This window comes from Homo sapiens, chromosome 6 (genome assembly GCF_000001405.40).
Source record: "Homo sapiens chromosome 6, GRCh38.p14 Primary Assembly".
In the NCBI taxonomy this organism is placed as follows: Eukaryota; Metazoa; Chordata; class Mammalia; order Primates; family Hominidae; genus Homo; species Homo sapiens.
In genome coordinates, this window is record NC_000006.12 from 160,746,059 (window position 1) to 160,768,421 (window position 22,363).

Sequence of the window (22,363 nt, forward strand, 5' to 3'; positions counted from 1 at the left end):
TTCTGTCTTTCATTTTGACCTTGGAAAATCTGATGATTATGTGTCTTGAGGATGATCTTCTTGTATAGAATCTCACAGGGGTTCTCTGTATTTTCTAAATTTGACTATTGGCCTCTCTAGCAAGGTTGAAGAAGTTTTCATGGACAATATCCTGAAATGTTTTCTAAATTGTTTACTTTCTCCCCATCCCTTTCAGAAATGCCAGTGATTTGTAGATTTGGCCTTTTTACATAATCCCATGTTTCTTGGAGGCTTTGTTCATTCCTTTTCATTCTTTTTTCTTAATTTTTGTCAACTGTCTTATTTCAGAAAGCCAGTCTTCCATTTCTGAGATTCTTTCCTCAGCTTGGTTTATTTTGCTATTAATACTTGGATTGCTTTGTGAAATTCTTACAGTTTGTTTCTCAGCTCTCAGCTCTGTCAGATCCATTAGGTTCTTTTTTAAACCAGTGATTTTGTCTTTCAGCTTCTATATCATTTTATTGTGATCCTCAATTTCCTTGGATTGGATTTTGCCATCCTCCTGGATCTTGATGATCTTCATTCCTATCCATAGTCTGAATTCCAGTTCTATCATTTCAGCCAGCTCAGCCTTGTTAAGAACCCTTGTTAGAGAACTAGTGTGGTTGTTTGGAGGACATATGGCACTCCGGCCTTTATGTTCCTTTAACTGCAGTGTAGGTTGAATACAGCCAATAGACTTGTTCTTTGGATGTTTTTACAGGGCCAAAGCCTTGTGCAGGGTCTTTATTTGTAGTTGATTTCTTGTCTTTGGTTTCATAGTGTGGTATGTTAGCAAGGTATTTTTGGTGTTGAAGCTTTGGGGTGTGATCCATTTTTTATTTGTATATTTCCCTACACCTAAAACAAGCAAAAAAACAGTAAAGGTCTTTGAGTCTCTTAATCCATAATTTCAGCATTCCTGAGTATGCTTCCCTGGGTAAGTGGGGTTTTCACCCAGCCCTCAAGTTAAGAGTGTTAGATTATTTTTCATGTGAAATTAGCCAGACTGGCTTTCTTAACACAATGTAAAACAATAACAACAAAAGTTATAATTAGACTAGTCTTCTTCCCAAATACCCACATGTCTAATGTAAGTGGGATGGTGTTAAACAGGGGACCTACAACTGGGGGAGAGGCGGACAGGTCCCATGGCCCCAGGTCTAGGATGGCATTTGGTATTGGTTGATGGGTGTGGATGAGAACAAGAGAGGGAACACTTGTGCAGGATATGGTATCAGCACCTGTAATACATTTTAGGGATTCTTTCTTCTCTTTGCAGTATGCCCTGACAATAATTATATCCATCAGCCTAGTCCCCTTGGCCATTGAAACACTAAGACTGTCTTAGGATCCCTGCTGCAGTTTCTCAGAGGTGCTAGGAGGGCATTAGGAGTCTGAAGCCCTGGAAGTGTGTTCTGACTTTGCCACTAGCTAGATAGACCTGGACTAGGCACGTTACCTCTTTGTACCACTCAGCTCTAACCCCTCATTCAAAAACCCAGCATTTTCAAGTGGTGTTTTTCACATCAGCCTTTGCATAAGTTTTCATTTGAAGAAAGGTTTGTTTTTGTTTTCTTGGTTTAATCAAACATTTAAAAACGAATGGTCTAGATGATTTCAAAGTGGCTTTCCTTTTCCTGTGCTTTTCCTACTATTTAAAAACTTTACCTCCTTGATTTCTTGATCTCCCTTTCTGCACTGCTGGGTCTGGGAGCATTGAGGCCAAGTAAAAGGAACCTTGGCAAAGGAGGAACACCTATGGGTGTGCCAGGCTGCTCCCAGTGTTTTGCATTTTTAAAAATTTAAATGCTGCAAACCTCTATGAATTACATATTATTGTTCCTAGTTTACAAATGAGGAGCCTGAGGCTCAGAGAATGTGTGGGATGGTACAGACTAACCTGAATTAGAACCCTGGCTCCCATTTACTGGCTGTCAGGACTTAGAAAAGTCATAAACTCTCTGGCTGGGTGCAGTGGCTCACGCCTGTAATCCCAGCACTTTGGGAGGCCGAGGCAGGCAGACCACGAGGTCAGGAGCTTGAGACGAGCCTGACCAACACGGTGAAACCCCGTCTCTACTAAAAATACAAAAATTAGCCGGGTGTGGTAGCACACCCCTGTAATCCCAGCTACTCAGGAGGCTGAGGCAGGAGAATCGCTTCAACCTGGGAGGTGGAGGTTGCAGTGAGCCAAGATTGTGCCACTGCACTCCAGCCTGGGTGACAGAGTGAGACTCTATGTGAGAAAGAAAGAAAGAAGGAAAGAAGGAAAGAAGGAAGAAAAGAAAGAGAAAGAAAGAAAGAAAGAAAGAAAGAAAGAAAGAAAGAAAGAAAGAAAGGAAGAAAGAAAGAAAGGGAAAGAAAGAGAACGAAAGAAAGAAGGGAGGGAGGGAGGGAGGGAGGGAGGGAGGGAGGAAGGGTGGGTGGGTTGTGAACTCTTGTTGATTGTTTCCTCAGCTGAAATGTGGGCTGCAGGGCTATTGGGGGAGAAACAATAAGAAAGTGCACCAAGCACCAAGCACATGCTAAGAAGTCCATCATGGCAGCTCCTGATAATAATATGGAATAGAGTTGTATCTAACATGACTCTTTCTTGCAAGTGACAGAAAATGCAACTTAAGTTGGATTAAGCAAAAAAGAGAAATCATTAGTGAACTGAAAATTCTGCAGGCTCACATCATGGCCCCAGACCCTGTCCATTATTCTTGGGCACAAATGTGACATTCTCGTGGCTGCAGATGCTGTGGTGGCTCTGGCTCTGCCAGGAAAAGAAATAAGGAAGGCCACTCTCCCCATTACACAAACAATAGTCTTCCAGCTCTGAGAGGTCGAACTTGTGTCACCAGCCTGCCCCTAAACCCGTCACTGATTAACTCCAACCTGCATCAGCTGTTCCATGCTGGAGGTGGACGCAGGACCACACTCATACCAAGATGGGGGCAAAGTGTAGTTCCCTCAACAGGATTATAGGATATAGTGTGATAGGCTGCTGGGCAGCCAAAAAGCAAACAGATCCTCTACAATTCCTCAACTGATGAAAGCACGAAGCTAAAATCATAAAGATCTGTGTGTGAGTTCTGGCTCTCCCATCTTCCTTGTGAGATTGAGCAGTTAGTTAATCTCTTTTAGCCTCAGCTTTCTCACCTGTACCAACATATAAGGTCATTGTGAGGATTAAGATTATGCCTCATGATCATCATTATCATCATCACCATCCACATTGCAACCACAACTACCATCATCATCCCCACCAACATCATCACCACCACCACCATCACAATTATCATTACCACCACCACCATTGTCACCCTCAACATCACCATCATCACTATCACCACCACCATCATCATCACTACCACTACCAACACCATCACTCTCATCATTCCACCACCATCACCATTAACATTACCATCACTATCATCACCACCACCACCACCACCACCCCCATCATTACTGCCATCAACATCACCATCACCATCATCACCACCATCACCATCATTATCAACCATCATCACCACCATTCCACCACCATCACCATTATCATCACTACCATTATCACCACCACCATCATCACCACCACCACTACCACCACCATCACCACCATCATCACCATAACCATCATCACCACTATCAACATGATAGTAATTATGATTACCACCACCATTAGCATTATCATTACCACCACCAGTACCATCACCATCACCACCGCCACCACCTCCATGATCATTACTACCCACCACCATCACCGTCACCATCATTTCACTACCAGCACAATTATCATTACCACCACCATCACTACCACCCTTATCACAACCCTCATCATCACCACCATTCCACCACTGCCACCACCACCACCACCATCACTATCATTAACAATAGACATCACATAACCAGTTTGTAGCTGGACCTTGAGCCCAGAGCCCACTCACTGTTTCTTCAGTCCCACCGCCAACCACCAGGATGAGTCACAAAACATAACTCAGGCCTGCTCCTCAATTTTCTACATGTCAATAATGACATTGAAGCAATGGGTGTTCTCTGCTTCTCAGAGGGAAGTTGAAATTCTCCTGCTCTTCCCTTCATGTTTCCAGATGTTCCCTGACTTGGATATTCCAAACGCAGAGTTTGGAGGTGTTGAGGCCAAGGGGTTTTTCCAGGTCAGCCATCATCTGCAATCACTGAGCTGATCCTGCTGCTGGACTTTCCCTGTTGCCCTCTCCCCAACGCCCCATCGGGGAGGGCTTCAATCCTCAGGTCACCTGTGGCCTTTCTGCCCTCAGAGGTGCCATCTCTACATCTACCACTGGAAGGCAGCACCTACTCACAGATTGCATCAATTTCCCAGCAACTCATGGTGGGTTTTCCCCCTTATCAGCGTGTTTGCCTTGCTCAGAGAGCAGATCCCAGAGCAGTGACACCTAACTTAATTTTCAGCAAAACATTTTGAGAAGGGTGCTCCCTCACACAACTACACAGTCCAGGTGATGCACCCACTGCCCAATGCTTGGTAGTCAAGAGGAGCTTCCTCCCTGCAGCTCTGCCCAGATAGGGCTGAGCTGGGCTCTGGAGCCAGGCGCTGGGATGAGCCTCTTCCATGCTGCTCATGTAAACTCCAGATTCAGTGTCGGTTTTCTGAACCCGAGACAATGATCTAAATGCAGTCGAAGGCTTTGGGGAAAGAGAGAGTGCCTCGGTTCTTACCTGTGTCATGCTCGCAAAGCAAAGAGTTTTGCAAAATTTTAATGAAACCTGGGCTTGCAAAATTGGAAAACTAGATTATTTGTGACGACACTGAGACATCCCTGGGCATGTCTATCTGGAAAAACGGCATTTTCTCTGGCAATTTTGCAGACATTCTATTTCAATTTGGCAAAGAAAATAAAGCAGTTTTTCACAAAGGCAGAAATACAACTAGAATGTTCACTCTCCCTAATTGTCAAAGAAGTGTAAATTAGAAAATGAATCAGGACAATTTCAACCTATTAGATTAGCTAATATTTTAAAAATTGAAGACTCATACAAGTGAGGTGAAGTGATTGTTTTCTAGTGGCACGGTACACTGTCACACCCTTTTAGAAAATAATTTGGCAACGTTATTGGGAGACAGAAATATGTCTATGTAATTTATGGGAACTTAGACTCAGAAAATGTTAAGGAATAAGAATGAACTTTATGAACAAAGATGTGGAAAGCTGGAAGCAAGAGTGGGGCCAACACGCATGGGGAGGAAGCATTTGGGCAGTGACTCCACAGACCCAGGCTCAGGCTGAACTACACAACCTCCTTACGCCTCAGTTTCCTTAACAGTAGAACAGAAATGATAAAAGTGCCTGTTTCACAGGACTATTGCGAGGATTAAGTGAGATACATCGCATTATAAGCTTGTGTCTGGAAAGGTTAATTCTTGGTAAATGATGACTATTCTTTTTTATTGCAATAAAATATACAAAACATAAGGTTTACTATTTTAACCATTTTGGAAGGTACCACTGAGTGGCATTTAGTACATTCACAATCATGTGCAACCATCATCATATTTCCAGAACATTTTCCTCATTCCCAAAGGAAACCTCATGTTCATTAAGCAGTAGCTCCCCTTAACATATTAGTTATGAAGATCATAGCATTATACAAAACTCATGACACAATGATGAGTGAAAAAATCAAGATGTGAAATTTTGTGTTATGATGTAATTAGTAAAAGAAGCATATTAAAACATCTGAAAAAAGAGTATATAAAAATAGCAATTGCATTTTTCAGACTCTACATTTTAAACATTATTCTTTATAGTTTTAAAAGCAAAAAGTAAAGAAACAACAACCAACCCCAAACCAACACGACAAAGCCCAGATTGTTAATTCCAGGGCTCAGGAACACAGAATCATATATGATGTTTACACTCTGCAGGGTCAGAGACTCCAGCGGCATTGGGAGCTGCCTCGTGTTCTGCAGCCTCACAGACAGGAGGTCCAGTGCCGCTGCTCTGTTCTGGAATATCCTCCTGAATGTGTTTTGGGTGCAGTTGCCATTTCTTTCATCTTTTTAAACACAGGTACTTTTGGAGCTGGCCTTCTCAAGGAAGCCCAGCTCCCTGTGATTGAGAATAAAGTGTGCAATCGCTATGAGTTTCTGAATGGAAGAGTCCAATCCACCGAACTCTGTGCTGGGCATTTGGCCGGAGGCACTGACAGTTGCCAGGTAAGCAAAGATCAAGAGACCAAAGTTAGTCTTGTGCTCTCTTGTCTCAGTCTCAGCCCCTCAGACTTCATTCCCCAGGTGGCAAATTCAAGGATTTTCAACCGAAGACCCCAGTCTAAGTGTTGTTTAGAAACTTCCTAGATCTGTCCCTGAATGCGTATTCAGATCATCTAAGGGGATGTCTTGGGGCTTGAGTTCCAAATCAGTAGCAAGCGAGTTTTAAGTGCCATAACTACCTCAGGCCACTCACCCTCCTGGGGTGTGCTGGTGGCCAGGGACTAAAGTGGTGACTTTTCCGGTAGGGAAGGAGGTAGAGGATACAGGACAGAGACCAACTGCACACACTTTACACTGATGCCCAGGCTAGCCCAGTCTAAAGGAAACACCAACATAGGAAGGGATGTGTGCAGGATTCACAAAAGATCTTTTCTACCCCCCGGAAAAACTAAGTGGTGTGGTTTCGCTAAACAGATTTTGCTAAGTACTTAAGCACTGCAGATGCTTGAGTAATATGCTCATAAGTTCCTTTCTGATTTCAATTACTGGGAAAATGTATATATGGATAGTAGAAGGATGGCATCCCATAATAAAAGGCAGGCAGCCTAACCCTCACATGCATTTTTCTCTCCCTCTGTATAGGGTGACAGTGGAGGTCCTCTGGTTTGCTTCGAGAAGGACAAATACATTTTACAAGGAGTCACTTCTTGGGGTCTTGGCTGTGCACGCCCCAATAAGCCTGGTGTCTATGTTCGTGTTTCAAGGTTTGTTACTTGGATTGAGGGAGTGATGAGAAATAATTAATTGGACGGGAGACAGAGTGACGCACTGACTCACCTAGAGGCTGGAACGTGGGTAGGGATTTAGCATGCTGGAAATAACTGGCAGTAATCAAACGAAGACACTGTCCCCAGCTACCAGCTACGCCAAACCTCGGCATTTTTTGTGTTATTTTCTGACTGCTGGATTCTGTAGTAAGGTGACATAGCTATGACATTTGTTAAAAATAAACTCTGTACTTAACTTTGATTTGAGTAAATTTTGGTTTTGGTCTTCAACATTTTCATGCTCTTTGTTCACCCCACCAATTTTTAAATGGGCAGATGGGGGGATTTAGCTGCTTTTGATAAGGAACAGCTGCACAAAGGACTGAGCAGGCTGCAAGGTCACAGAGGGGAGAGCCAAGAAGTTGTCCACGCATTTACCTCATCAGCTAACGAGGGCTTGACATGCATTTTTACTGTCTTTATTCCTGACACTGAGATGAATGTTTTCAAAGCTGCAACATGTATGGGGAGTCATGCAAACCGATTCTGTTATTGGGAATGAAATCTGTCACCGACTGCTTGACTTGAGCCCAGGGGACACGGAGCAGAGAGCTGTATATGATGGAGTGAACCGGTCCATGGATGTGTAACACAAGACCAACTGAGAGTCTGAATGTTATTCTGGGGCACACGTGAGTCTAGGATTGGTGCCAAGAGCATGTAAATGAACAACAAGCAAATATTGAAGGTGGACCACTTATTTCCCATTGCTAATTGCCTGCCCGGTTTTGAAACAGTCTGCAGTACACACGGTCACAGGAGAATGACCTGTGGGAGAGATACATGTTTAGAAGGAAGAGAAAGGACAAAGGCACACGTTTTACCATTTAAAATATTGTTACCAAACAAAAATATCCATTCAAAATACAATTTAACAATGCAACAGTCATCTTACAGCAGAGAAATGCAGAGAAAAGCAAAACTGCAAGTGACTGTGAATAAAGGGTGAATGTAGTCTCAAATCCTCAAAGAGCTGTGTTTATTTCATTGACAAATAGATTATTTGTATTCAATTCTGATGTGCTTTAAGGATGAAGTTTCTCATTTTACAATTAGCACACACTTCGTATATGTTGTCACCTGTTCTCCTTACACAAATGTTGTTCCCCATTTTGAAGGATTCCCTTTGGTACCAGTTTTGCCTGTCCACATAAAGTATTTCATTTAAAAAGCTCAGCATAAAATATAGACTGCATCTGAAAAGATATTGAATATAATATACATAGCAGAACACACACGTTCCACATTTCAAAAGCCTCGATAACAAAAAAGAAAGATCAAAGCCCTTATTAGTCGCTGTAAAGCCATTTATAAAGCTCCTGCTGATCCTGTTAAGCATGGATATAATTGACCTTTCTTTTAAATTAAAATGTAAGCTTTTCCCCAAGACAACTCAAAGTGCCAAGACTGAATGGGAACTGTCCATGTTTCTAACTCTTGGCCACGGGCACCATCAGAACTGAACTTAACAAATATATGAAAAATATCTCTTCATTTTTAAAATCCTAAGACCCAGAAATCATAATCCATGGGATTTGTTTAGTAAAGAAGAAAATCTGTGGCTCTAGGTGTCCACTAAAGGAGAGCCAAAAATGTCCCGAATAATCTCAGGACCACAGCATCATTTTATGAATAACAGAACCAAGACCTCAGATTGTACAACAGATTGGTTCTTATTGCTGGAATGGGGCATAAACCATGCCTGGAACCCCAGATGCTACAGAGAAGGTAGATGGGAGAGACTTCTGACCTGTTCATGTTGCAAAGGCGTGCGGAGACCAAGGTGAGCAGAGGACACGAATGCTCACATTCTGTGGCCCAGGAACCTGTGATTCAATCTCCTCATTAACAGGATTCCCAAATTTTCATCCTCCCTGCAATTTTTCAAATGCTCGGTTATGGGCTTAGTCCCTTGACTGATCAGATTTGATGAACATTTCTGCACAAATTTCCCAAATCCTTGGTTTTCAAATCCTGCATTCTTGATGGAGCTGTTATGAGAATCGGGTGGGGGGCTTCTCTCGTCTCTCTTTAGCCTAATGAATCAGAGACCAGGAAGAGCCATGCACCTGAGAGGCTCTTTTTTAAGCCAGCTACATATTATGTGTTCCCAGAAACTTCAACAGCACTACAAATAATCCTAACTCATCCAACATTATATAAAAATACTCTGGATAGATTGAGGTCTTTATACAGTATTACAACAGTGTGGCATAATGTAGCTGAAATGCACACGTGCATCTCTGCAAGGACAGCTTTGCAAGGAGGATCAGCTCCTGGATAGCTCCTTCCTTCCCTCTGTCAGGGGCCTCAAAGGTGAGAGCTGGAAACTGGAGTTTTTTTATTCCTGCCACACTTATAGGAATGTGGACTGAAAAAACAAAGGAGAAAGGAGAAAGTCTTCGTGAAAGATTATGCAACTAGTTAGAGGAAGGTCTTCTGTTATTATTTAATAGCATAGCTGGTTTTGATCAAATACACATACCTAACTTCTGATGAAAACCCAACTCAAAGGTAACAAAAATCACTTCAGGCTAATTTTTTGACTTGCTTTCAGACCCTAGACAGAGGTTAGTTAGCATTACAGTATTTAAGCTCTTTATGAATTTCTGCTGAATTAACATATGTTTGGAAATCAGCTGCTGATGTGAACCCAGCAGAAATGATAGAATAATCCAGTGCAGTTTTAGAAGGGAATATACTAACAGGTTTCAGTAATTTAGCACGAACTAGTTTTTTTAGAGTAAATAACCATGGATCACAATCAATGTGCTTAATTTGTAGTACAGTAAACCATACTTCTAGATTTTTTCAAGTGTGGGGACTAGGTATAATTAATCTATCCAACTTTTCATTATGAAAATTTATAAACAGAAAAAAATTAGAATTTGTGTAACTTAAATTTTTGTTGGTAGAATTCCTCATGTTTATATATTAGTTGGATATTGATTTTCCTTGCTCCCCATTGGGACAATCCTGCACCACCCCACCACCCTTCACCAGCCAAAAACAATCTCTCCCAGTTGTTTAATTTTAATGCAGCTGATGTGGTAGAAGAGTCCTGGTCTCAAAGGACTCCCTCTTCCTCCATTTCTTCCTGATGAGTTTGCAAATCTGACTAATTCTGATTGAATCAAGAATGAATGCATCACTCTCAGTGTGTAAACAGGCAGCAGTCAATGGAGTAGAATCAAAGGGAAGAAAGATTTTCCTCAGGATTTTTGAAATATTAAAAAACATTAGAGTTCCATATCCTTAATTTCCAGTTCATTATCAAGATTGCTTTTTATTTTTTAAGTTAGCAGTTAAATCATTTTTAAAGATTACGCAAAAAAACAAGACTATGTGTTCTATTTAAAAAAAAAAATCAAACAGTACAGAAGTCTCTGACAGGAAAGTGATGGCCCTCCCTTCGCTACCCATCTCCCCAGCCCATTTGTGTCCCCAGATATTGTTTTACATCTTTTACTGTAATTCTCATATTCATATCTCTGTCTTTTTTAGTGAAAAATGTCAAACAGAAACTTATAAAGATTTCAGTAATGTTAATTTTTGTTGATATAACTCTTCATGTTCATATATTGGCTGGATATTAGCTTTCCTTGTACACTATTTGCCTCCAAAACTCAATCTCTCTTTCTTTTCTCTGTCTACTTACCTCTATTACCTATCTATCATCTATTATCTATTTATCCATTCATCAATCCTTCTACCCATTATCTATCATCTGTGTCTATCTATCTATCTATCTATCTATCTATCTATCTATCTATCTATCATCTATCATCCATCTACCTATTATCTGCCTATCTACCATTTGTGTGTCATCTGTCTTCCTATCCAGCTACAGAGAGGGACTGCCTTTGGTTTTAGTTTTTTATAAATACTCTAACACATTGTTGAGTGATGTTTCACTTTGTAATCAGTCTTGAAAACCTGCCTATGCCATTCCATCTAGACAGACCTGACGTCAGCCTCCTCACTCTGTAGAGTAAGCCACACTGTTAATCCCCTGCTGCTGCACGTCCCAGCGATTTCCACTTTCCCACGTCAGCAGTTCCTGCCTTTAGATCACTTCTGAGTCTTAGCACCTTACATGGAAATGCTTCTCTCTTCACAATCATGTTTAAAAAATAATGAATATTCTTATCTAGCTTTGGTGGGATTTTTTACATTAATATTTTATGTTTACTTTGAATTTTTTGCTTACGATGTAAGATGAGGATTTATTGTTATTTTTTCCCCATGCATGTTCAATTTTCTCAACATCTTCCTTTCTCCAGTGGTTTGAAATGCTGCTTTTATTTAGGGTGCATTGAATTTTGGACAATGCCTGCCAAGTTTTTCTACATCATCCACTGTTTCTGGCAAGGCAATACCCGTGATTTCAGGCAAAAGCATCACGAGGCCACCACAGATGGATGCCAGGGTACCTACGGAATAGGGGAGAGGTGTTACTGCCCCCAGGAACACACAGCTGGGCCTTCCCCCACAGGCCTCCTCACTGTGAAGCCACCGTGTTACTCACTGGAGTGGCTCTCAACCACAGCAACCTCTACACCCCAGATCACTGCCTTGGCTCTCCTTCACCATGATTTCAAATGTTCTCTCCCTTCCTCAAACCCTGAGCTATGGCCCCTGTACACCTGGCAGCCATGGGTTCTCTCACACATCTCACAGTGATTGACTGAGTGCCTTCTCGGGGTCCAACACCCAAGGCCTCCCCTCCTGCATCACAGGGAAACAGAAGTGCTGGAGGGGAGTCCCCTCTGCACCTGCTCACTGACACTCTCACTTACCTGCTCCTCTCCCTCCCATTCCACCTGTCACCTTACACTGGAAGAATTGTCTTGGTGTCTACCCCAGGGCCAGTGCTCACCTAGGCTTGTCTTTTTGGGTGCCTCACTATGGTGATTAACCCTTTCTCCAGTATCTTTAACCTATTGGGAGAAGCTTTCAAACACATTAAGATCTTTCTTGTTTGACCAGCCTTCTCTCATTCTCACCTCATCCTTCCATTACCATCCTTTCTTTTACTGTTCTTTAGAGCCAAAGTTCTTGAAAAGCCACCCTCTCCTATTTTCTCCACTTATTTGTATCCAAGTGGTGTGCTAGTAAATGCCTAACAACTGGCTTTGGACAATCAAGCCCTGATTGGCAGCATCTGCCAATGTGCACGGTGTAAATGCTCCCACTGTGGGCCCTTCAGTCTACTGACACAACATCCCTGCCTGTGCCACTAGGAAGAGATGCAGGAGCCCCATCAATGTGGCTTCCACCATAAAGACGCAGCAGACACAATCTCAGGAACACAGGTAATACTGAAGATGTAGTAGATGAACTAGAAACTGATGAATGTTGAGACTAAAATCAGTTCCTACTTTAAATGCATAGACATTAATGTAACACAACAAGAAACATGAAAAAACAAGGAGGTAAAATAAAACACCATCAAAGGACACAATAATTTCCCAGTAGCTGGTCCCATAGAAATAAAGATATATTAACAACCTGACAAAGATTTCAAAATAATTATTTGAAGAAAGCTTGGTAAACTTCAAGAAAATACAGAGAATTCAATAAAATCAGAAAAACAATAAAAGACCAAAATGAGAAATGTAATGGAGAGATTAAAACTGTTTAAAAAGTCAAACAGAATTTCTGAAACTGGAAAAATAATTAAGTGAAAAATGCAATAGACAGCATCAAAAGCAGAATTCATCATGTAGAATAAATAATCTGTGAACTTGAAGACAGGTTATTTGTGAATATAGAATCGAAGAAGAAAAAATAGTAAAAAAATAAAGTTTACAGGACTTATGAGGCAGCATGAAAAGTGCAAATATTTTAGTTATAAGAGTTCACAAAGGAGAAAAAAAGGGGTAGAAAGCTTATTTTAAAAATAACAGAAAACTTTCTAAATCTAGGGAAAGATATCAACATCCAGGTCCAAGATGGTCAAAAGTCTCTAACTAAATTCAGTTCAAACATAACTACATCAAGGCAAAGTCAGACTGTCAAAAATAAAGACAAAGAGAAAATCGTAAAAGCAGAAAGAGAAAAGAAGCAAATCACATATAACAGAGTTCCAGTAAGGCTAGCAGCAAAGTTCTCAACAGGTTCCATACAGGCCAGGAAAGAGCAGGTTAATATATTCAAAATGCTGAAGAAAAAAACTACAAAATAAGGATACTGCATTCACCAAAGCTGTGCCTCAGAAATGGAGATATCAAGTTTTTACCAAATAAAAGCTGAGGAAGTTCATTAACCCCAGACCTGTCTTACAAGAAATGCTAAAGGGAGTCTGCAAGATGAAAAAAGATGCTAATTAGTAACAAAAAAGAAAACATAAAACTCACTGGTTAAAGTAAGTACATAGTCAAATTCATAATATTCAAATACGTTAATGGTGGCCACATATATCTGTAATATGAAAGAATGAATCTCTTATATCTTTAGCATGAAGGTTAAAAGACAAAACTATTGAAAATAATAGCTACAATAATTTTTTAAGGGATATATGCTATAAAAAGATATACATTGTGACATAAAAAAATTTTAAATGCAGGGAGATGTGGAGTAAAGGCACAGAGTTTTTATGCAATCAAAATTAAGTTGTTATCAGCATAAAATAGCCCGATATAATTATGAGACTTTTTGTAAGCATCATGGTAACCACAAAGCAAAAGCATAAGGTAGATATACAAAAGATAAAAAGGAATCAAAGCATCCCACTAGAGAAAAATCACTTAATCACATAGAAAGATAGCAAGACAGGAAGAAAGGAACAAAGAGTCTACAAAACAACCAGAAAGCAATTAACAAAATGATAACAGTAGTCCCTTACCTATCAATAATTATCTTGAATGAAAATGGATTAAATTCTCCAATAAAAAGATATACAGAGGTAGAATACACTAAAAAATAAGATCCAACTGTATGCTGCCTACAGGACACTCACTTCACCTATAAGGACACAAATAAACTGAAAGTAATGGGATGGACAAAATATTCCATGCAAATGGAAACCAAAAGAGAGCAGGTGTAGTTATACAGATTGAGTATCCCTAATCCAAAAGTCTGAAATCTGAAATAGTCCAAAATTAATAAAATTTTAAGTGCTGACATGATGTTCAAAGGAATTGCTCACTGGAACACTTTGGATTTTGGTCTTTAGGGATGCTAAAACAGTAAATATATAATGTGTAGTAGTCCATTCTCACACTACTATAAAGAATGCTACCTGAGACTGGGTAACTATGAGGAGGTTTAATTGACTCAGTTCCACAAGCTTAACAGGAAGCATGGCTAGGAGGCCTCAGGAAATGTACAATATTGGCAGAAGGTGAAGGGGAAGCAGGCACCTTCTTAACAAGGTGGCAGAAGGGAGTGTGAGTGTGTGAAGGGGGAACTGTCAAACACATATAAAACCATCAGATTTCATGAGAACTCACTCACTTTCATGAGAACAGCATGAGGGAAACTGCTCCCATGATCCAATCACCTCCCACTGGGTCCTTCCCTTGACATGTGGCAATTATGGGGATTACAATTCAAGATGAGATTTGGGTGGGGACACAGCCAAACTATATCATAATGCAAATATTCCAAAATAAAAAAAAATTTCAAAATTCTAAAAAAGTAAACCATATTATAATTCAAATATTCCAAAAAAATTCAAAATTGAAAACACTTCCGGTTTCAGGAATTTTGGATAAGGGAAACTGAATCTACATGAGGTAAAACGACTTTAAGGCCGGGCGCGGTGGCTCACGCCTGTAATCCCAGCACTTTGGGAGGCCGAGACGGGCGGATCACGAGGTCAGGAGATCGAGACCATCCTGGCTGACACGGTGAAACCCCGTCTCTACTAAAAATACAAAAATTAGCCGGGCATGGTGGCGCGTGCCTGTAGTCCCAGCTACTCGGGAGGCTGAGGCAGGAGAATGGCGTGAACCCGGGAGGCGGAGCTTGCAGTGAGTCGAGATTGCGCCACTGCGCTCCAGCCTGGGCGACAGAGCGAAACTCCGTCTCAAAAAAAAAAAAAAAAAAAAAAAAAAAACGACTTTAAGTCAAAAACTGTAAAAAGAGACAAAGAAGATCATAACATAATGATAAAGAGATCAATTTGTTATAACAATTATAAATACTTATTAATATATATACCCAAAATTTGAGTACCTACGTATAACAACTAAAAAAATTAATAGTTCTCAAAGGAGAGCTAGACTGTACTATAATCATAGTAGCAGACTTCAATAGCTCCACTTAGCTCCATAGTAGCAGACTTCAATAGCTCCAGACAGAGAATCATTATGGAAACATGAGATTTAAACTACACTTTAGGCCAAATGGACCTAACAGAAATATATAGAACATTCTGTCCAACAGCAGTAGAATACACATTATTCTCAAGTGCACATAGAACTTTCTCCACAATAGATCATATGTTAGGTCACAAAACAAGTAAACAAATTTAAGAAGATTAGAATCATACCAGGTATTCTTTTCAGATTATAATTGTATGAAACTAGAAATCAATGACAGGAGAATATTGGAAAATCCACAAATACATAGAAATTAATCAACATGCTCCTGAACAATCAATGATCAAAGAAGATATTAAAAGATAAATTTAAAAACTCAAAACTAATGAAAATGGGCACACTAACATACCAATAACTTATAGTATGCAGCAAAAGTGGTTCTAAGAGGGAAGCTTTTAGCAATAAACACTTACATCAAAAAAGAAGAAAGATATCAAATAAGCAACCTAACATTACTCCTCAAAAAAATAGACAAAGAAGAAAAGAAAAACTAACCCAACAGTTAGTAGAAGGAAAGAAATAATAAAGATCACCATAGAAATAGTGAAGTAGAGACCAGAAAAATGATAAAAAAAAAAAAGAAAGAAAACTAACGGTTTTTAAAAAGATAAAAAAATTGACCAACTTTTAACTAGATTAAGAAAAACAAAGAAGACTCAAATGAAATCAGAAAGAGGAGACATTACAATAGATATTACAGAAGTACAAATGATCATAAGAGACTACTGTGAACAATTATATGTCAACAAATTGGATAACTTAGAAGAAATGAATGAATTCCTAGAAGTGAAAAACCTACCAAGACTGACTCAGAAAGAAATAGAAAATCTGAACAGACCAATAAGTATAAGATTGAATCAGTAATAACTTCCATCAACAAAAAGCCCAGGACCTAATCATACCTGAATTAACTGCTGAATCATACCAAACATTAAAAGGACTAATATCAATCCTCCTCAAACTCTTCCAAAAAGTTAAAGAAAAGGGAATGCTTTCAAGTTCATTTTATGCGGACAGCATTATGCTGATATGAAACACAAAAAAGAATACTGTAAGGAAAGAAAATTACAGGCAATATCCCCGATGAACATATGTGCAAAAATCTTCAACAAAATACTAGGAAACGGAATCCAACAGAACATTAAAAGGATCATTCGCCATGATCAAGTGGGAATTGTCCCAGGAATGCAAGGATAGTTCAACATACACAAATAAATAAATAAAAGGATAAATGGATGATAAAAATGTGTGTATCCATATGTGTGTGTCTGTGTTATACACACATTTTTATATTATATATATATATACACTCACATATACACATTGTGTGTGTGTGTGTCTGTGTCTTATATACAGACACACACACACAATGGAATATTATTCAGCCTTAATAAAGAAGGAAACCCTGCCTTTGCATCAACATGGATGAACCTGGAGGACATTATGATAAGTGAAATAAGCCAGACAAAGAAGGAAAATACTGTGTAAGCTTACATATGGAATCTAAGAAAGTTGAACTCTTAGAAACGGAGTAGAATGGTGATTACCAGGGCTGGGGAAGAGGGAAATGGAGAGATATTGGTCAAAAAATACAAATGTGCAGTTTTGCAAGATAAACAGGTTCTGGAAATCTAATGAACTGAATGCTGACTACAGTTAACAATACTGTATTGCATACTTGAAATTTGCTAAAAGAGTTGATCCTAAGTGTTCTTACCATGTACACAAAAGTATGTGAGATGATGAATACTTTAATTAGCTTGATTATGGTAATAATTTCACAATGTGCATTTATATTAAAACATTACCTTGTACATCTTAAATATATACAATTTTTGTCAAGTGTATCTCAATAAAACTGGAAAACAATTGAAGAGTAATGAAAAAAATTAAAAGCTATTATGTGTCAAAGGACATAATCAACAAAGTGAAAAAACCTACTGATGAAGCAAATCTATTGACAAAGGCCTGGTATCCAGAATATATTAAAATCTCTAGGCTGGGCTCAGTGGCTGACACCTGTAATCCCAGCACTTTGGGAGCCCAAGGCAGGAGGATCACTTGAACCCAGGAGTTCAAGGCAGCAGTGAGCTATGATTGGGCCACTGCACTCCAGCCTGGGTGACAGGGTGAGACCACCATCACTTAACCCATTTCTTGTTTAGAAAAAAGAAAGTGCAGCAGTGCAGCTCACTGCCAGCACAGTATTCTTTGGGCAAACAAGAAGAGAAATGGGAGAAAAAAAAAAAAAACTTACAATTCAACAACAAAAAGAAAAACAAGAATGTAAAGAGACATTTTTCCAAAAAAGATATATAAATAGTCAACAAGTACATGAAATGATGGTTAACATCATTAGTCATTAAGAAAATGCCAATAAAGTCATAATGAAATAAGACTTCATATGCATTAGGATGTCTATAATTTAAAAAATAGAGAATAACAAGTGGTGGTGAGGATGTAAAGAAATTAGAATCCTGTACATTGCTGGTGGGAATATAAAATGGTTCAACCACAGTGGAAAATAATTTGGCAGTTCCTTAAAATGGTAAACATAGAATTACCATATGATCTAACACTTCTACTCTTAGGTATATAGACAAAAAAATTGAAAACAAGTACCCAGATACCTTGCATGAGAAGGTTCATAGCAGCACTATTACAAAAGCCACAAGCTGGAAACAACCCAAATATCAATCAATAGACGAGGGGATAAACAAATTGTGGCTTATACAGCCACAAAAAGGAATGAAGCACTGGTACATGCTGCATGGCTAAACCTTGAAAGCAAGGGCTGGGATGGGGTCATGGAAAGTAATAGCTTACTGTGTACTGCATTGTATTTTGAGGTAATGAAAATGTTTTGGAACTGGATAGAGGTGGTGGTTGTCGTGTACTACATAAAACTAATTGTCCACTTTAAGATGGTTAATATTCTTATGGGAATTTCTCAATTAAAAAATACCTTCCATGTATTCTAAGGATGATACTAGATTTCATTCAGTATCAGATACAGAGATTTGCTCTGGCAAAATGAGGAAGTAATTTTTTTGAAAAAGGAAGATGTGAGATTCAACAAATGGGGGATCAAATATCAGAGAGGCAAGGGGATCTTCTGGATGACAGTCCATGGAGATCCCACGACAGATGGACAGCAGGCCGGCCGTGCACCCAGGCCAGGCCAGGCCAGAGCAGGGACGATGGCTCCTGAGAAGCTCTCTCTAAGAACATTGCTAGATGGCCTAATGGGTTTGGGGGCATATTGAAAAGGTTTATAAAACTGAGAATTTGGAGTAGAATTAGAAAAATGACATAAAATCTTACAGAAAAGAAAACAACGAATTCTAGGGAGAAATATAAGAGTATACTACATGCCTCAGTTATAAATAGCATTTTCATAGTCATGAAGAAATATGAACACTGAATATTTACTTAACCAAAATTACAATATAATTACATAATTATGTTAGGTACATATAGCAAAAGGATGTGTGTGTGTATGTAGTATGTATGATGTTTGTGGTGTGTGTGTGGTATGTGTATGGTGTGTGTATGGTGTGAGGTGTGTGCAGTGTGTCTGGCGTTTATGGTGTGTATGTGTGTTGTGTACAGTGTGGTGTGTACGTGGTATGTGGTGCGTATGCTGTGTCTGTGTGTTGTGCATCGTGTCTGTGGTGTATGTGGTGTGTGTGTGCATAGTGTATATATGGGATGTGTGTATATGTGGCATGTGTGTGGTGTGTGTTTTGATGTTGATGGTGCATTAAAAGGAGTTAAATCCTAATATTCCCAGGTGGGAAGTCCATAGGTGTGTTAGTCGTTCTCACATTGCTGTAATACCTGAGACTGGGTAATGTAATAATGAACTATGTAATCAGCTACAGAGTTGAGGGTGTGGAGCTCACCCAGGACAGCTGAGCTACTGGTGTAAAATGAATGGTATTTTTAAAAATGGCTATTTGTAGAATTTACAGAACTAGGACACCCCAACCAAGGGTTGATAAGAAAGGACCCCAGGGCTCTGTCTCAGCTCTCCTGGCCACATCTGGAGGACATGGGCTTCTCCAAGGTCTCACACTTTCAGGAAGTGTTGATGAAGGATATGGAGAGACCTGAAGCTCTGGGCGCTGCGTAGTCTGAGAAGAGAAGCTTCGGGAACGTGGGAACTGAGTGCAGATACCGGAGGGCTGTCATCCAACAGAGGGAGTAGGTGACGACTGGCCTAGGGAGGGACCCTTATCAAGGCTGCATTTGTTGATTGCCTTCTTTGTGTGGGGCACTGCTGTGACTGCATTAAATTTCCATTTACCTAAATCCAATTTTGTGCGCTTGTTTTCTACTCTTGTAGGAAAGACAACAGCGACAACCTCAAGCCAGTAATCTAGTCAAAGGAGCAATTCCCAAGGCACGACATGTGGGGAATTCACATTCATTGGCACTACAGTGATTGCTGATAACGCCAACTTAATGCCTGGCCAACAGCATGGATCCTGACCTCCACTATTCTTGTGTGTTTAGAGAACCACAAAAAAGTGCAGTGTTTTCATTTTTGTTGCTTGTTTCGCAGGTCTACATAATCTACTTTTTAAAGTCAAAAACGGTCTTAGTGATGCACAATAAAAGTATAAACTCAGTATAGTGCATAGTATCTTTTTCATATACGTATGAATATATATACACTTTTACACATGTATGCATATGTATCATATGGGTCAAAACACTAGATGGAATGGAATTTTTTTAATTGAAATATTTTCTGGTTATTAAGCATATCAGCTACCTTTAAAGTATTAATTTTACTGTATTTATATTAATTATTGAAGCTTGAACTTCAGAATAGTGGAGGATAAAAGTTAAACACTGCAAAAAGATTTCTCCTTTATTACTTCTTCAAATCAGAGAAAAGACATTTAAAGAGAAAACAGGAAGTACCTTCCCCACTCCACATAACTTATGAAGTAAGCAGCTAATTGATCATACCATAAAGAGGCACCAAATAAAATCTGTGTGTCTCAAAACAGGAGCACTGCTTCTGTGAAATCAGTTAAAGTAAATACCCATATTGGTCATGCATTGAAACATATATTTTCCTAAGTGAATTCTCCATAATTCTGAAAATCAGTGAAAACATCATCTCATGTTACTTTAATCTACACAAAACCAAGCAGCGCATATGACTCTCCATGTTTCAGGGCATACACATCCCTTTCCACCAGGGATCAATGTGCCCTATGGGAAGCAACTTCTTGCCTTTTAAACCAGATTCAGTAAACAAAAATTGTTTTGTATAGCTGACACAGGATCACATCAATTGCACGAAAAAGATCAGTCTGTGGAAGGAAGGTTACAAAGTCAAACGAGGCACGTTAAGGAGGCCTAACCCATCACATTGGATGTTCTGCTGTTCTGTTTTTCGGGTCAGAAATACAGGTACTAGGACTCCCTGAATCCAGCAGGTGTTAGAACAGAGGAAGGCAGAGGGCAACCTCCTGCAAAACATCTACCCTTGCCAGTTTCTAATCCAGGGTCCAGGGGCTGGAGCATCCGGGCTCCCCGTGCTTGCGCTTGGAAGCAGAAACGCCTTCAACCCTCACTTCTCACAGGACCTCCGACCCACCTACCTGAGGCTCAGCCCCAGAGCCGGCGGGTGGACGGAGCGAGATCGCGCCCTGGAACACGGAGCTGGCGAGAAGGAGAAAAGCCCAGCTGGCGGCGTAGGGGCGAGGGTCCTGCCTTTCCCGGCGGCCTCGCCCTGGCCATCCTGGCCCTGCGGGAAGGGGTCAGCCCACCCGAGCCTCGTCCACCCCTCGTCCACCCCTCCGCCTCCCGCCCCGGCACCACGCCGCGCCCGCGTCCCCGCCCAGTGCCCGCGCCTTTGCGGGCCCCGGTCCTGCGGGGCCCCTCGCGCACTCCAGAAGCATCAGTATCCTCCGGGCGGCCACGGGCCAGCTGCGGCTCCCACCCTGGCGACCCTGGATTGCTCTCCCCATTCTCAGCCTCACCCCCCACTCCTTCCACCCCATATTTTGCCGCCTCGAAGGACATGAACCATCTGCTGGCTGAAGGCGCTTGGACCTGAAACCAGCGACAGGTTTTGGCAGCTGCACGCTCACTCCCAGGGAGGCGAGGGCGCCCGGCGAAGTGTGGGGTCTGCCGCCCCCTGCCGGCTTGGCTGACGTTCGCTTCTGTTTCCACGCTGCCCAGCAGTGTTCCAGGTGGAACATTTCAAAGGCAAGGCTGAGAATAAATGCTGTTTACAAATTCCAGAAAAGAAAAAAAAATGTTGCTCTTCTCTTTAGTAAAAGGTTTTCCCAGACAAGCCAGCACTTCTGTGGGTTGTATTTAAATCTTAAGTACATGAGAGCTGTTGCCTGCAGGCGCTGGTATTGCCCAAGGAGGGTAGTTTCAGGACAAAGTCTCTGAAAACTCCAGGCTCTTGGACGAAGCAACCTTTCCACATTATGTAGCATAATCTACCAGGTCCTGCGATTTACCCATCGTGCAAAAGGAGCAAGTCTCTTTAAAACAGGGCTTTCAGAGAGTCTTTTCAGGAGAAAAAAAATGTTGGAAGAACAGATTCGTTGCCTATTTGTTGTTGACTTTGCATCTAAACTGATCCCCTTAAAAGTATTTATGGGTATGAACGATAAATAATGAAAGGGATCAAAATAGGAATGTTTCATTTACTTTAACCTGGCCCATGCAGTGCACTTCAGGCCCTAGACTCTGGTTTGGACTCTGCGATTTCTACCTTCCTTGGCTTTGTTTGCTTCACTGATCAGAGTTCTGTGAATACAGTAGGTGCTCGATAAATGCTTATTCTGGTTATTGCCATTGATGCCTGTGGCAGTAACTGCAGACCGGCAGGCTCCGGCAGCAACGAGGCGTGGGGCTGGAGGGCCTGGCTCTGGCATCCAACCCTGCTCCATCTGACACACAAGCGGTGTGACTCTGGGGAAGCTATGAACCTCTGCGGAACTCTCTATTAGTAAGATGAGAGTGGTAGTAAT

At 40.7% G+C, this 22,363-nt stretch overlaps 1 protein-coding gene across 1 annotated transcript in view, besides 2 other annotated features; it reads left to right on the forward strand.

Moving 5' to 3' along the window:
- PLG (plasminogen) overlaps positions 1-8,039 on the forward strand; it is a 51,905-nt gene extending 43,866 nt beyond the window's left edge. The window contains exons 18-19 of the mRNA NM_000301.5: positions 6,057-6,202; positions 6,842-8,039. Of these exons, the coding sequence (NP_000292.1) occupies positions 6,057-6,202; positions 6,842-7,003 (308 nt within the window). The 3' untranslated portion in view covers positions 7,004-8,039. The remainder of the gene's footprint in view (positions 1-6,056; positions 6,203-6,841) is intronic.
- Positions 20,986-21,095: a silencer, noted in NCBI's record as "silent region_17763". NCBI's record gives its function as "represses an Ori minimal core promoter by ATAC-STARR-seq in GM12878 lymphoblastoid cells {active_cell/tissue: GM12878}" and the evidence as "EXISTENCE:reporter gene assay evidence [ECO:0000049][PMID:35858748]".
- Positions 21,156-21,285: a silencer, noted in NCBI's record as "silent region_17764". NCBI's record gives its function as "represses an Ori minimal core promoter by ATAC-STARR-seq in GM12878 lymphoblastoid cells {active_cell/tissue: GM12878}" and the evidence as "EXISTENCE:reporter gene assay evidence [ECO:0000049][PMID:35858748]".